General features: G+C 39.5%; 1 protein-coding gene across 22 annotated transcripts in view; it reads right to left on the reverse strand.

The window, feature by feature from the left end:
• Positions 1-16,590, reverse strand: part of CACNB4 (calcium voltage-gated channel auxiliary subunit beta 4) — a 266,397-nt gene that overhangs the window by 120,575 nt on the left and 129,232 nt on the right. The gene's annotated exons all lie outside the window — the stretch shown is intronic.

Consider the following 16,590-nt stretch of genomic DNA (forward strand, 5'->3'; position numbering starts at 1 on the left):
TCTTGTTCTGTTTCCTCATTCAGCCTGCCATGCTCTCCTTTCAAGCCCTCCAACTCCTCCCTTCCCTGTTTTAGGAAGACAGTCTAGAGTAGGACACTTGGGTTCAAATCCTGGCTTGTCTTCTAGCTGTATGACCCTGGACGAATCATATGACTTTTTTTATGCCTAGAAAATGTGTGACAAAAATATCTACATCATAAGGTCATTGTGAAAATTAAGGGAAAGAATTTGTGTGGAGCACAATTGTCCAAATCCAAACAGTTAGTAAACGGAAAGCATTGTAAGTCCAGTTCTTTTTACAAACACAAAGTCCATCCTCTTACTCTATGCTCCCTCCTGGTGGTTTCAAATGCACAGATCTCCTCCTGATTTCACTCTAAGAATTTTTCTACTAGGAATATTTTCTATTTCTATGACTCTTTTAAGAGTTATCATCTCTAGCACAGTGTTGGAAGTTCCATAGGTACTTGTGAACTTTTCATTTAGATGCTCAGAAAAGAATGCATCTGTAAACAGTCCTTTGGTAACACTCTGACAAACGTGTTCACCCCACATGAAGGCCATCAATAGATATATCCAGGATTAATTTACAAAGCTCAGATGTCTTTACAACAAATTCTATCTGTCTTTTGAACAAATATGTCAACATATCTTCACAGTAAGAACTTAAGGAAGTCACCCAGATGCCTCCCATCTTAACATGAATGACCATGGGGATACAAGGACACATACCTGTGGAAGGGATCTGCCATCTACCTCTTGCAACTGTGACCAGGGTTATCAGTGTGTCCCTGAAGCAACAACCGCAGCTTCACTATAATGTACACTCTGCCTCTCCAACCTTCAGCAAGCTCCTCGTTCTAAACCAGAGTGGCATGGTTTATTACTACCAAAGGAGACCGTCCTATTCCTTAGTTCTTTTCAACATCACACAAAAATTAAGGCTATGAATTAATAGAGTAATTTTATTTAGGCAGAATTATTTCCAAGGAATGTTTCATAAGCAGCTCATAAAGAACAAACTGGGATGATTTGCTTAATTCTGTCATCCATGGGGAAATGTCTGAAGAGCAGATTTTATAGAGAAATTTTCATTGCCAAGAGTGAGAAAAACTAAAATATCTTTGTTCTGTTTCAAATTATTGTACCTTTATGTGTCTGATTTCCTGAAATTTGTTGTTTGTTTGTTTCCATTTGGCTTTAGAGATTAACATGAGAAAGTTCATTTGCGGGGTTCATTCAAATAACTAACCTTGCCTGAAAAGTCACAGAGATTTCGGATATGGCCATCACAGACATAATAACTCTGATAATAATACAGTCACTAAATTATGATCTGAACTTGGAAATAAAAGAGAAGAAGTTGAAAGAATCCTATTTTCAAGACAATATATCTGAATATGTCCTTGCAAATGAGAACAAGAAGAAATAAAGAAACTATGATACACAGACAAGATTATTTCTAAATAGAATGCCTTTCAGCATTTACTGTGACAAGTCAGCACTTTTTTTTTTTTTTTTTTTTTGAGATGGAGTCTCGCTCTGTTGTCTGGGCTGGAGTGCAGTGGGGCGATCTCAGCTCACTGCAAGCTCCGCCTCCCAGGTTCATGCCATTCTCCCGCCTCAGCCTCCCGAGTAGCTGGGACTACAGGCACCCGCCACGATGCCCAGCTAATTTTTTTTGTATTTTTAGTAGAGACAGGGTTTCACTGTGTTAGCCAGGATGGTCTCGATCTCCTGACCTTGTGATCCGCCCACCTCAGCCTCCCAAAGTGCTGGGATTACAGGCGTGAGCCACCGTGCCCAGCCAACAAGTCAGCAACTTTTAAATAAGCACCTCACAATTTCAGAGCTGCACCTGGTTTAATTAATTACACTCGTCATTTCCTCACTGGTTGGTGCAAACCATTCCCATCTTACTATGCACTGAGAACATCAATATCATAGAGCTATAGCATTCATCCACTCATTCAATATTAACTTATTGTGTATTATTGTGCTATGTCTTTTTTAATTCATTCTCTACCCTTGCATAGTTGGAGTTGAGGGAAGGAAGGCAGAAAAGAATGGTAAGACTTGATCCTTGCCCTCTAGAGTCCTATGTTTGCAGAAATAAGATGCAGACACATGAAATGGTGAAGAAGCCATCCAAGACTGCAGGTGGCTAATGCCCAAGTGAATGGGGCAGATGCTGCTATGGGAATTCAGAAGAGGCTGGAAAAGCAGAGGAACCTCATAGAAGAAGTGGAATAAGAGTTGGACTTTGATTGGGTGCAGTGGCTCACATCTGTAATCCCAGCACTTTGGGAGGCTGAGGCGGGAGGCTGAGGTGGGAGGCTTGCTTGGGCCCAGGAGTTTGAACCAGCCCCGGCAACATAGTGAGACCCCATCTCCACAAAATAAAAAATTAGCCAGGTGTGGTGGTACACGCCTGCAGTCTCAGCTACCCAGGAAGCTAAGGTGGGAGGATTGCTTGAGCCCAAGATGTCAAGGCTGCAGTGAGCCATGATTGCACTACTGCCCTCCATCCTGGGCCAACAGAGCAAGGCACGGTCTCAAAAATAAAAAATAGAAAAAAAAAAAAAGAATTAGACTTTGAGCAATTCAAAGTCTATAAAGTCTATAAAGAGGATGTGGGAGAAGAGAGATTCTCAAAAGGAGGGAGTAATGTCCACAATTTTTGTACTTGAGACTGAGCATTGCTTACTCGTACAAACTGACAAGAGCAGGATTATATGGAAATAGCTGAGATATGGCCATTCAGGCCAGTGGAGTGGGATTCTAAAACACCTTGTATCTTCGATATACTTGTAGTATACATCAAATTATTAAAGATGACGCATTTTGATGTGACTGGTGAAGAAATTTATGATCCACACATACCCAAGAACTTGTGCATGAATGTTCACAGCAGCATTATTCATAACAGCCACAAAGTGGAAACAGCCCAAATGTCCATCAATGGATGAATGGATAAAATGTGATATATCCATGTAATGGAATAATATTTGGCAATACAAAGAAATGAAATGCTGATAAAAGCTGCAACATGGATGGATCCTGAAAACATTATGCTAAGTGAAAGAAGCCTACAAAAGGCTGTCTATTGTGTGGTTCCCAATGTACGAAATATCCAGAAGAGGCAAATGCACAAACACACCCTAGGGCTGAGAGAGTTGGAAGGAGATGGGGAGTGGCTGCTAATAGGTATGAGTTTTCTTTTTGGGGTGATTAAAATGTTCTAAATTGGTCGTGGTGATGATTGTAGTTGTACCACTCTGAATATAGTAAAACCCCTGAATTGTACACTTTAAACGGCTGAATTCCTTGGTATGTGAATTATATGCAGTGAAGCTGTTATTAAAGAAACAAACTATCAAGTGTTTACTCTAGGGAATAGGGTCTAGGATTGTAGGCGAGGAGGGAGACTAACACTACCACCAATTATTTTTACAATCAATATAGCTGAGTGTCTCATCATATTCTGGCTCTTTTAAGAATACAGACCTTTTAATTTCCAGCCGGGCACAGTGGCTCATGCCTGTAATCCTAGCACTGTGGGAGACCAAGGCGGTGGATCACCTGAGGTCAGGAGTTCAAGACCAGCCTGACCAACAAGGCGAAACCCAGTCTCTATTAAAAATACAAAAATTAGCCGTTAGCTGGGCGTGGTGATGCATGCTTGTAATCCCAGCTACTTGGGAGGCTGAGGCAGGAGAATCACTTGAACCTGGGAAATGGAGGTTGCAGTGAGCCGAGATCGTGCCACTGCACTCCAGCCTGGGCAACAGAGTCAGACTCCATCTCAAAAAAAAGAAAGAATATAGGCCTTTTAATTTCCTAAACCTGCTAACCCCCAATTTTAAATTCACTTTGATTTTTTCAAAGAAAAAAAAAGTAGAGTGGCTGGGCGTGTGTGTGTGTGTGTGTGTGTGTGTGTGTGTGTGTGTGTGTGTCCCTTGGGAATCCCTGATAAAATATATTGTGTTCAATCATTTCTGACCATTCCCTAGATTCCTCTTGATTCCTGGAGGAATTAAAGTTATTGAATTTCAATTCATTCCAACAACCATTTATTGAGTGCCCATCTTGAGGCAAGCAAGGGTAGGGTAAGGATAGGGAGATGAATAAACCAATTACATTTTATTTAAAGAAAGACATTCATACTTCAAAGTGCTTACCACCCCAAATAAGTGGACAAGAAGCTAAAAGAACAGGGAAACTAAGTGCTGTGTGCACTGTCACAAACTCTCGAGCTGACCAAGACAATAATTTGACCCAGTATTTCTCAAAGAATTTACATGAAAGTGATTTGGGGAGCGTTTGCCAAAAATATGAATCCTAAGCCTTACTCCAAACTAACTGAATCAAAGTCTCCTAAGAGGGAGGCCCCAGAAATATATATACTGTATCTATTTAACGTTAACTTCACTCTGTCCCACAAAATCCTTCCAGTCTACAACACTGAGATGGTTTGCAGTGATTATGAGGCCTGGTGTAAATAACTAAACCAGCATTTCCCTAATTGTATTCTGTAGTATACTAGTTATTCAAGTACTTAATAGGTATTCTTTAGGGAAAAAAATGGATTCTGAGATCAAGTAGGTTTGGAATATCTTGGGGTTAAATAAAATTTAATTGGTTTATTTATTGTGGAATGCTAACAGATATTAGTGGGCTACTGGGTGCTGTGAATCTTTTGAGAAAGGGACGGAGTATGGTGATTATCAAGCTTATTTGACTAGGGACCTGTTTTTTTCACATGTATCAACAGGCGCATAAATTAATGGCTAGAAACTCATCTACCACATATAAGAAGTATGAGAGACTCTGGAAAATGTTACAATCTACTTCTAAATAGAAAAAGAAATATTTAATGTAAAAGGATAATATATGGCAAGCTTCCTCTATAGTTTCCAAACATGGCATAATAGGGTATATGAGGATAGGTACAGGCCCGGAACAGATAGAGCCATAACCGATTATTTGGCAGCAAGTTCCTGGTAACCGGGAGTCCCAGCTGTCTAGAACGAAACTATTTCATGATCTTGGGATGAAGTCAGTAACTTTCTTAGCCAGAAACCAATGGCTAAAGGGTTGAGGCCTTCAATCCGGGACCTGGCTTCTAACCTGAGATCCCCAGGGTCAGTGGAAAAGATATCAGAAGAAATGGCCTAGTTTTCCAATCTCAGTGGCATCACTGTCCAACCGGTCAGTCACCTAAGCCGAAAGTGGGAGTTCCTCTTCCTTCATAAGCTAATTAGCCATTAAACCTGCTGCATTTATGACTTAAATATTTTTTCAGTTCACCTCCTCCTCTCCATCCCCACTACTGCTGCCCTAGTTCAGGCTTCCATCAGCTCACACCTGTACTATTTCCACAGCTTTTTATTTGGACTCCCTGCCTGAATTCTTCCTCTCCTCAAATCCATCTTCTACCCTGACCAATGCACAGCTGATCAAACCACTTTCCAGTTTAAAAATCTGTGAACGGCTCCCAATTACCTACTGCAAATAATTTCTCTCACAGTATGTTCTGCGAAACATCAATACAGTATGTGATCACAGAAAAAGGGCTCCTTTCAAATGGGAGGCTAGGTATTTTTAAATGTAGGTACAAAGATAACAACTACCTATCAGTGTCTGATCTGTTCCCAGTATAGCAGACAGGTCCAATAATTCCTTGGAGTCTAAGGACCTCGAGGAAGGCCCAATCAGTAATCTGGGAAATGCTTCCAAAGTCTATCAACATCCTTGATTAGAGAATCTCAGAAGTCATTTAACACAAATGCTGATAGGATAATGGACACTTTTTATACTTCTAAAGAAATGATATAGTTTATAGCCAGAGCCTGCTGAATGTCCTCATTTTCTGCCGGAAGTCAATCTGGAACTTCAAAACTATACATCTTCCATTAAATACATGGAGGTGAGGCTTTGGGTTCACAGTATCTTTGCAAGCTCTAAATTAGGAACTGGAAATTCAAATACCCTAAGAATCAGATGAATCACAGCTGACAAAATTCTGGCTGAGTTTCCAGAACAAGGTGTCCCATGCGTACCCTTCCCCCAACCTCCTCAAGACATCTTACAAAACTAGTCACTAAGTTAGACTCAAATATTCCACATTTGAGTTGGCTGCTGGCTGGCATTTTGAAAGCCAGCTTCTCTATGTAAATGCAGCACTCAAATGAAAAATGTAACAACTAGTTGTACATCTTACAGCCAGAACATATTTTAGTTAAAAGCAATATAAATCAAAACATTCATAGAATCTAGATTATGCATTTCTCATCCTTTTTCTATCTTATTTGTATCCGACTCTTTTTTTTCTTGCTCTTAAATTTTAGGGGTAAATTTACCTACTTTATATTTGGAATGTGGGAGGAACAATTTTTTAGCTATTTTTATACCTGTGTAATTTCAAAACCAAAGCAGAACAATATCATATTTATCAACATACTATTCAATCTTAATAAAGTCCTGTTATAATATCTTGCATAATTTGCATAGTTCTTTATATTGTAGCTCTGATTCAAGGAGTTTCACAGACACACATAGTTATTCAAAATATTACAGCTGAACTGATGAAAAGCACCCATAACAAATGGTAACAGTGTACTTCAGTTACAAGATCTGCCTCACCGTTCTTATAACACTGCACTCTACACTAGTAATAATTTAAGAATTTGAGTTATAAAAATTAGAAATCAATTTTAAGTAGATTATTTTAAGTCCTTAAACTGTGAAAATGAAACAATCCAAGCAGTCTTCATGTAACATGTATGCTAGCTTAGCTTTCAGAAAGCCCCTTAAGTATATTTAAAGACATATGCAGTACCTCTCTAGTGAGTGTCTCTGTATACCATATGCCAGGCACACACCCTTCCAGGAGTAAACATCTGAACCTTAGAATCTTATCAAAATAAACCACAACTGAGACTCATGGCAATCATTTTATTCCTTATTGCTGGAATTGACTCTCTCTTGTGGCCGCTGGCACAGTTCTGTAAGCATAAGGACCAGCTCTCACCACTGAGAACAGCCTGGCTTTGACCCTGCAGACACTGCTAAAAGCAAGGAGAAAATCTACTTCCCCCGAGTTCGCCTTATCTTAAGAATCATGGCTATTCAGAGAGGGGAGGTATCTGCTGGCTGGGCACATAACCACCACCATTGCGATCGGTCCCAGGGAGGGCAGTGAAGCAAAAGGCCACCATGAACATCACCAATGAGAGCACCTTCTGTTCCAGAGACTGGAGGGGCATGCTCTTACCATATCCCAGTGATGGGTTACATGTCCCAATCCTTGGCCAACTGGTCCACCAGTCAAGGGTTAGTGCTCTTTCTGCACTCAGGATTCCAGCATCTAGTGAGGGCATGAATCTACTCCCTTCCACATTTTGTAAGTCTTAGCAATGGAAAGTAAGGGCCTTCATTATATCCATCCTAATCCTGATCACAGCTTTCAGAATTCCATTAGTTTCACTTGTTTCCCCAAAAGACACTCCCAAAATTTCTAATTAAAGTATAACACATGTATAGAAATGTGCACATATCATACATGTAGATCAATGGATTTTCACATATTTTACACACCATAAAACCAGTAGCCAAAGTTGATTTTTAAATACAGACACATGGGGTCTGTTTTAGCTTGACTAAAAATGGCAAGACTTGGCCTCCAAGCTACTATCATCCATGTAAAGGAAATGCTCCTCTTAGCATTCCCACCCCTGCCCGGTCAACATATCTTTTAATAAGGAGGCTGTCATCAGAAATGTAAAAATCTCACATTGCTAATCCCTGTTCCCACCACTCCTCTCACTATTATATGTGGTGGGAATCACAACGTGATGACATTTGGAGAGATCCCAAAAATTATTCTGGCCTGGCCATGACAATGGAGCACATCTAAGACACAAGTTGGTCTCATTCGCACTTTCCTTTATCTTCTCAGTCTCCACAGAGACCTCTGGGTATTTGAAGGCAGTCATGGAAGCCCTCTTAGCTTAGCTTCTCAAGCTTTCTCCACAAAACTAACATTTAAATCTTTTATTTGCTCCTATTGCTAGACATTTTGTTGAAGTGCTGAAGGTCTTCGTCAAAGCAACAGTACAGGAATTAAAACCCAGGAGACTGATTGCAGTGAAACTATTCCCACATATGAAAGCCAACACACATCTCCAAAGGAAGACGACCAACAACAGCTCCTTCAGAGCCTCACCAGCATCTTCAGAGGTGTGCTTTAAGAATGGCTTCAGGCTGAGCGCAGTGGCTTATGGCTGTAATCTTAGCACTTTGGGAAGCCGAGGCAGGAGGACTGCTTGAGCCCAGGAGTACGAGATCAGCCTGGGCAACACAGTGAGACCCTACCTCTACAAAAAAATAAAAAATTAGCCAGGCATGATGGCATGCACCTGTAGTCCCAGCTACTCAAGAGAATGAGGTGGGAGGATCACTTCAGCCCAGGAGGTCCAAGGCTGCAGTGAGCCATGATTGCGCCACTGCTCTCCAGACTGGGCAACAGAGGAAGACCCTGTCTCAAAAAAAATAAAAAAAAGAATGTCTCCCAATTGCATGCTTTCATCAACTTGTGTGAATATACACTCAGACAATACAGTAATACAGATGGAACCAAATCACCTCTCTAAACCACCCTTCATCCTTCCCCACTCTGCTATTGCACTGCATGGCTAACCGGTAAGCTCTGCTCTTTGGCTTCTGGCTGAGTTTGGCCAAAAGGCACCCTAGCAGGGATCAGAGTAAGGGAGACTAAGATTAGGGTATTTATTCTCTGGCTTCCTCCTTGTGGGATGCTTCAAAGCTGGCTGTATCCATCCACAGGGAAAGCTGCATCCTTCTCAAGGTAGCTTTCTGGATGCAACTCAGTCCTCCCAGGTTCCTATAACCACACCCTTTCTGGGAATGCACTTACTAGCCATGGGGGTACAGCACTATCCCTTGTGGTTTCCTTGCACCCTACCAATACCTTTTCATTTTATTAAACCCTCTCAATTTATCCTAATTTGAGCATGTTGTCAGGGACACTCTCTCCACCCCCACCCCCAGAACTTACAGTTCCTCGTACCTTTTACAAATACTGCTGTTCCTTTTACCTTTTAAAAAATATTGCTACTGAATCATGCAAATGTTTCTTTGAATTGGAAGCTCATGGAGATGAATCATAAATGAGAAAGGCAGAGAATAAAAATGAAATTCGGATGCTCATGGCTAAGGCCAAACGTAGCAGTAACTTGCAACTGTCATCAAGACCTGCATACAAATCATGAGAACACTAACATTTCCCTAAAACACAAAACGTCTTTGTGACATTCTCTAGCATTGAAATTTTATGTTCATTTAAGTTTTATGGGTGTATTATCATTCTAATCCATCAGCGACTTGGGACTTCAAACCATATCATAAAGCAACATCAAACAAACGCTTGAAAGAAATTGGGAAGCAAATCTGGTCTACAAGTAGATAAAGTTCTCACCATTTGGGTCAGAGAGCAATCCAATCTCTGTTTTGGAGATTCTCCCAACTCCCAACTGTTTTGTAAGCTGTCAAAAACCATACAAATTATACGATTATACCACTCTTCAGGTTTATTCCAGTTTTTTATAGTACTAACCTTGGAATTTGGCATCCTAAAAAGAATATTGCTCTAGAAAGAAACGTGGGCTGGGCGCGGTGGCTCACGTCTGTAATCCCAGTACTTTGGGAGGCCAATGCGGGCAGATCACAAGGTCAGGAGATCGAGACCATCCTGGCTAACACAGTGAAACCCTGTCTCTACTAAAAATACAAAAAATTAGCCAGGCGTGGTGACGGGCACCTGTAGTCCCAGCTACATGGGAGGCTGAGGCAGGAGAATGGCGTGAACCTGGGAGACGGAGCTTGTAGTGAGCCGAGATTGCGCCACTGCACTCCAGCCTGGGTGACAGAGAAAGACACCGTCTCAAAAAAAAAAAAAAAAAAAAAAATGTGAGGAAGGCTCTAGGTCCACTTCTACTACAGATTGCGTCATTCTAAACAAGTGGCCTAATCTCTCTGGGCCTCAACTGTTTCATCTTTGATATGATGAGGGCATATGGAACTTCCCAAGTTTTTGTGTGTTATTTTTAAACCAAAACAAATTATCACAACAGAGAGTAAATAAATTCTTCCTATAGAATCTGGAGGTCATATCCTAAAGTTGCTCTCCACAATCAAGAAACTTCTTTGAAGTCTTACATTTCAAGTTAAAAAGGTTGAACTAAATTGGTTTTTTTCTGAACCAAAAAAGAATGTATAATGTAAAAATGTTTTACAATGCTCACCAATATATATACGTCTTAAAATGTGTTAATCCTTTGATCCAGTAATTTTGCTTCTAAGAAGCTGTTTTGGAGAAATGCTCCATGTGTACACAATGATTCATGTAAAAGAATGTTGGGCCAGGTGCGGTGGTTTACGCCTGTAATCCCAGCACTTTGGGAGGCCGAGGCAGGTGGATTACCTGAGGTCAGGAGTTCGAGACCAGCCTGGCCAACATGGTGAAACTCCCGTCTCTACTAAAAATACAAAAATTAGCTGGGCATGGTGGCACACACCTGTAATCCCAGCTACTCAGGAGGCTGAGGCAGGAGAATTGCTTGAGCCCGGGAGACGGAGGTTGCAGCGAGCCAAGATCGTGCCACTGCACTCCAACCTGGCCAGAGCAAGACTCTGTCTCACAGAAAAAAAAAAAAAAAAAAAAAGAATGTTAACTGTAGCATTTAACTGTAGGACTGAAAAATGAAAAATAGTCTAAATCTCTATCAGTGGGAAAAATTCATCATGGCTAAACCACGCTGCACAGCAATTATGTCACTTTTTATTAAGAAGAATCCATTGATATGAAAAAAAATCCACAGTACATTTTCAGGTAAAGAAAGCAAGTCAGAATAATAATATTTATTATGATCTTATGTGCATTTTTAAAGATTACAAATATGACACGTTTGCTTGTAAGTACATTTTTCTAAATATTCCTGTTTGTCAATGCATAGAAATGGATATCCACTGAATTGTTAAGAATGGCTACCAGTGGGGAGGACAGCAGATTAGGATGTCATCAAGGAAGACTTATTTTTTACAGTCTATGGTTTTGTATTGTTTAAAGATTTTTCCCCCAAATATTCCCATTTCACTGAATTTGAGATATCAATATTTTTAAGATTCAACATTAGATTATGTACCACTAAGGGGAAAAAGCTGCCAATATAACTGCAAGACAACATTAGTTTTAAGATGTAGCCCTGTGTTAGACATGTTAAACATGGGAGGAAAAGTGTGCCCTTGGATCAATAAAGTACAAAATATGACTTTAGGGATATGACAATACAGAAAAATACCGCCATTGGCACTCTAGGAATATGCATTATGTTTTACGTACCAAATTTTTGGGTTTTAGTTAACTAAATATGAAATGTGACTATCATGTGGTCTTTTCTTTTTGAAATCTAATGTCTACCCAGCCTTCCTTGATCTGTGTGCTTTCATTCCTTACCCTGCTCTGCAATATCCTAGCACTTCACAAAGGGCCCTGTGCATCATAATTAAATTTTCTGTGCTCCCTACCTTATCAACTTCACCTTGGTTCCGTTCCTATATTCGAAGCGTTAACAACATGATCAAGTGAGATGATTTGAAAATTTGATCAACAGGTTCTTAATTCTATCACTTGGATCAATAGAACCATTGAATCAAGTAAACCCCAAGACATTAATCTCCAGGACATCATTTGAAGTTAGATGATATTAAGCTATCAATAATAACTCTTTGGAAATAAGCTAGGGAACTAATCTGTTTATGCACTAACCATTTTAGCATGACATTCGCCATAGTTTTCTAGCTTGACAAATACTTGCCTCCAGCCCTTACTTCATGCGAACATTATTTAAAGGGATGTTTGAGAGATTGGGCTCAAGTCAGGACTGACTTTTTCTCTCTCATCTTTGCATCCTTTCACTTTATCATAGAGGGAACTTAACCAGGTGAGGCACAATTATTCCTTTTAAAAGTAATGAATGACTTTTAAAATTAATGACTGTCTCCTAGAATTGATTGTATTCCTGGGGTTTTTCAACTGATGAATTATTGGTTTTAGGACATCCCAAAGGATAATAATAATGAGCTGAAGAAAATTCTGTAAAGCAAGAAAACACTGAACAACAAATATTCTTGATGATTAAGCAGGATAATCACAAAACAATAATTTAAAATATTTTTATATCAATACTCTGGTAGTGTAGAGCTCAGATACCTTAGCCAAGAAGGAAAAATAATTTAAAGCAGAATTACCTTTCCTCAATCATTAGTAAGAGTTAGGAGAAATTTACTTCTCAGAAAGCTTTTGCTTTTGATTTTTTTTTTTAGAGATGAGACTCAAGTGTTTCCAAGCTCAAATCACTGTGGGCTGGAAGTGCACCATGGGTATTGGCAAGCGAACAAGCAATAGACAAAGCATCCTTTTTGGCTTCTAGAATTAAAAGTCTTAAATAAAACATTTTCCTTTTCAAACATCTACTCTACTCAAAGATATGTACCACATATACCTGCTTCCTTCAAAGATTCTGAATAGGCCAAACATCCAGACTCAAGGTCCGAACACTGATACCTTACTCAGTATGTACAAAACACCGTGGTAATTGATCATTTTAAAAAGCAAATGGCATATGGTGACATTTTTATCTTAATTGAAGAAACTGCTTATCAGCAAAAAGTACAAAATTTTGCATGTGAAGAAACCTTAGAAAATGATCTACTCAAATGTCTTCATTTTATACGAGGGAAAAACTGAGGATTACAGAGTCAGAGATTAAGTGACTTGCCCATGGTCACTGTTAAGAAGTGGCAAAGACCAAGATTCCCAACTCCCAGCGTTCTTTCTTTCTTTCTTTTTCTTTTATTTATTTATTTTTTAAGATGGAGTTTTGCTTTTGTCACCCAGGCTGGAGTGTAATGGCGTGATCTTGGCTCACTGCAATCTCTGCCTCCCAGGGTTCAAGTGATTCTCCTGCCTCAGTCTCCTGGGTACCTGGGATTACAGGCACCCACCACCACGCCCAACTAATTTTTATATTTTTAGTACAGATGGGGTTTCACCATCTTGGCCAGGCTGGTCTCAAACTCCTGACCTCACGATCCACCCACCTCAGCCTTCCAAAGTGCTGGGATTACAGGTGTGAGCCACTGCGCCCAGCCTCCCAGCATTATTTCAATTACACTTTACCACATGCTTTTCTAAAACAAAATACAATGAACTAATCATAAGGCCTTTGGGGATTACTGAATTCTTTCACCTGTCAACCACTATAAGATTGTTGGAAATCACTGTCAAAAACCATGCAAGGGCTCTGAAAATAAACCAAAAAACTTGGTGGGACTATCAGAACCTATAGAAGGAGGAGCATATTTAGTTACTGAAACTGTAAGTATATTCATTATATGTATAACAATAATGGCAGATAATATATATCTGATTTTAAGGGCTTTATACACATTAACTAACTTAATCTTCAAAACCACCCAAAAAGTAAGTTCTATCATTATTGACAGGGATGAGGAAACCAAGGCACAGAAAGTTTAAGAAATATGCCCATGGCCACAAAGTAGGAAAGGGAAAGTCAGGATTCAACCCCTGGCAATATGGCGCTGTCTCCACATTTTTTTTTTTTTTTTTTTTTTTTTTGAGACAGGGTCTCATTCTGTCACCAAGCCTGAAGTGCAGTGGCATGATCAGGCCTCACTGAAGCCTCAACCTCCTGGGCTCAAGCGATCCTCCTGCCTCAGCTTCCTGAGTAGCTAGGACTACAGGTACATGCCACCATGCCCCACTAATTTTTTTTATTTTTATTTTTTTGCAAAGATGGGGTTTTGCCATGTTGCCCAGACTGGTCTCAAACTCCTGAGCTCAAGCAATCTGCCCATCTGTGCCTCCTAAAGTGCTGAGATTACAGGTGTGAGCCACCGCGCCTGGTCTGTCTCCACTTTCAATCATGACACTATTATACTACAACATTTTTTCATAATACAAAGTACAAAAAGTAAAATAGAAATTTTCCTGGCTGATAGATATGCCCAATAGAAGGCAAAATTTTTTAAGTCTTATGGAGATTTAAAAAGATCTAGAAACAATTTCAACTACAACCTTATCACTCACCAAACTTTTCAACAAAGCTGCCAATAGAGTAATAACGTAGAAGGTCAGAATCTTTTTCCTATATGATGCTCAGGCTAAAAAGAAAAGGGAGATTAAGGAATAACAGGCATAAGAAAGGCAAAATAAGAGAACTGTTGTTTTTTTTTTTCCACAAACTACACAGACAAGCTCCTGAGTAATTGACAGTTGCCAATCTCCATGTCTGAGTGGATACCTTGGATCAACTCCTCTGAATGAAAAGGCTAAAAGCAAATTCAAAACATCCTGTTTTAAATATAAGACTTTTCAATATTTCTCATGACAGACACAAAAGAAAAAAAAGGACACAGGAAGTACTGATAATGTGGCACCATTTAAAAAGAGAGGAAAATATTTATAACTAAAACTATATAGTTATGTTATAAAAGAATATAAAATGTAGAGCAAGAGCAAGTATTGGTCTATTTAGATGTCAAAAATTGTCACGTGAGCTATCTGGGCTACCTTCTTTTGGCATACCAATACATGCTGTAAAAATAGCCACACAGTTTTATCTTAGACTCACGCCCTTCAAAGTCTTAAAAAGCTCAAAGTTGTCATTATTTTATATGAACTGTAAGCTCCTTTAGGTTTTACACACTAAGTTGTTCTGAGGGCAGGGCGCTAGCTTTACACGGCAGTGCCCCAGCCTCCTGTGAGAACTCGGGGATCCACCCAATGAATGTATTTTTTCTAGTGTGGCAGGTTACAGCTGTTGCTGTTTTCACAGCCGCCAGAGCCTGATGCAAACACATGAAAGGCCCCTAAATCAGCCGATGTAGATGAGAACACAGAGCCTATATCTGTAGCGCTTCCTTGGTACAATTTTTAACTTAATGTTATGGATATCTGAGTTCATGGCTTCATGATTATTTTAAAGGACAAGTGGGAGAGGGAAGAGAAGAGAATGAACGATGATAACCAGTCCAGTTATATCCTCTTGTCCTCCTTAAGTGGCCTTGTTCACCTGGGTAAGAGACGGTAAAGGGGAGACAGTGACCAGAATGGGAGAACTGTTGACATAGAAATAAGGTCCAAGCTGAACCCCACAGAAAGAGAAGAGCTAAGGTAATGGGAAGCCTCCCCACCTTCACCCTAAAATAATGATTTTTCACGGTTATTGCTGACCCTTTTACAGAATGTCTTGCACCACAGAATAATGGAATGTCCATTGAGTACATACAAAGGGAGTCACAGGGCCATATTCTAAAATCCTGGATTGACTCATCATAATCTAATAATAATAATAACAGCAGCAGAAAAGGAGACATGGAAGTACCTGGCGAGGATTGATCCGAATTCTTGCCTCTGTGACTCAAAAATAGAAAATTAACAAGAAAGCAGCAAGATTGACAAGCTGGAACAGCAAATTCATGGGATCTGATCGATTCAAGGAATTTCTCTCTTTGGCTCCATGCCAATTATATCTAGAAATAATTTCAATATATATTTTAGAAAACCATCATTGCTGATTGAAGAGAAAGCCCTGTTTGTCATTTACTTAACACACCCCTAGCCAAACACCAACACAGCTCAGCTGAGTAAAACAACTTGATTTTTCTCAGTCAAATTCCCTACACAAACCAGGAGCAACATTTGGTTTTCTTCTGTGGTCAGAGATGCCAACATCCAGTCCTTGGATTCTCTTACAGATCAGTCCTCATTCTCTATAAATAGGCCAGAAAGACTTTTTGACTCCAGAAGAGATGCTCTGATCCACCAAACCATAGAGACCTCTGGCCTTCTTGTTTCCAAAAGAAATCTAATCCTTAAATCCCTAAAGTGTCTTCTGAAGGCCCCTAAACATATAAATCCTTCTGTCTGAAGTTTATCCGCCTCCCTAGCAAGCACAAGGATATATCTTCATATTTAAAATAACTTTACTATATCTTTGAAAGGAGCAATCCTTTATTCTCTTGAGGCTGCTTTGCCTTTCAACTCTCTTGGGTATCTTTGTTCACATCAAAAGCAGCTAATTTTCCATCTCCAAAAGCTCCACAGTAGACATCTCCCACTTAGCATTAACCATCAATTAGCGATGCATGGAACATATCTGTATATGAATGTAGGTGAAGGTACCAGGGTGAACAGTACGCATGCATGCAGAGGTGCACAGACATTGAGACAAACATACATAGTTCCACAGCTTATAGAAAATAAATAGTTTAACACAAAGCTATTCTTATAATAATGTGTACGTACATGTAAATTTAAGTATGTGCTTTTATATATACACTCAGATATTGTTATACATACATATTAAGTTTGTAAAATTTACTTTGCTGTAACTTTTACATACATAAAATTTCTAACAGTATTAATCAATATATTATGATTCCTTTCTATGATTGAAAACACTTAAAGACTATATTTTCCTCTCT

Source organism: Homo sapiens, chromosome 2 (assembly GCF_000001405.40).
Source record: "Homo sapiens chromosome 2, GRCh38.p14 Primary Assembly".
NCBI lineage: Eukaryota > Metazoa > Chordata > Mammalia > Primates > Hominidae > Homo > Homo sapiens.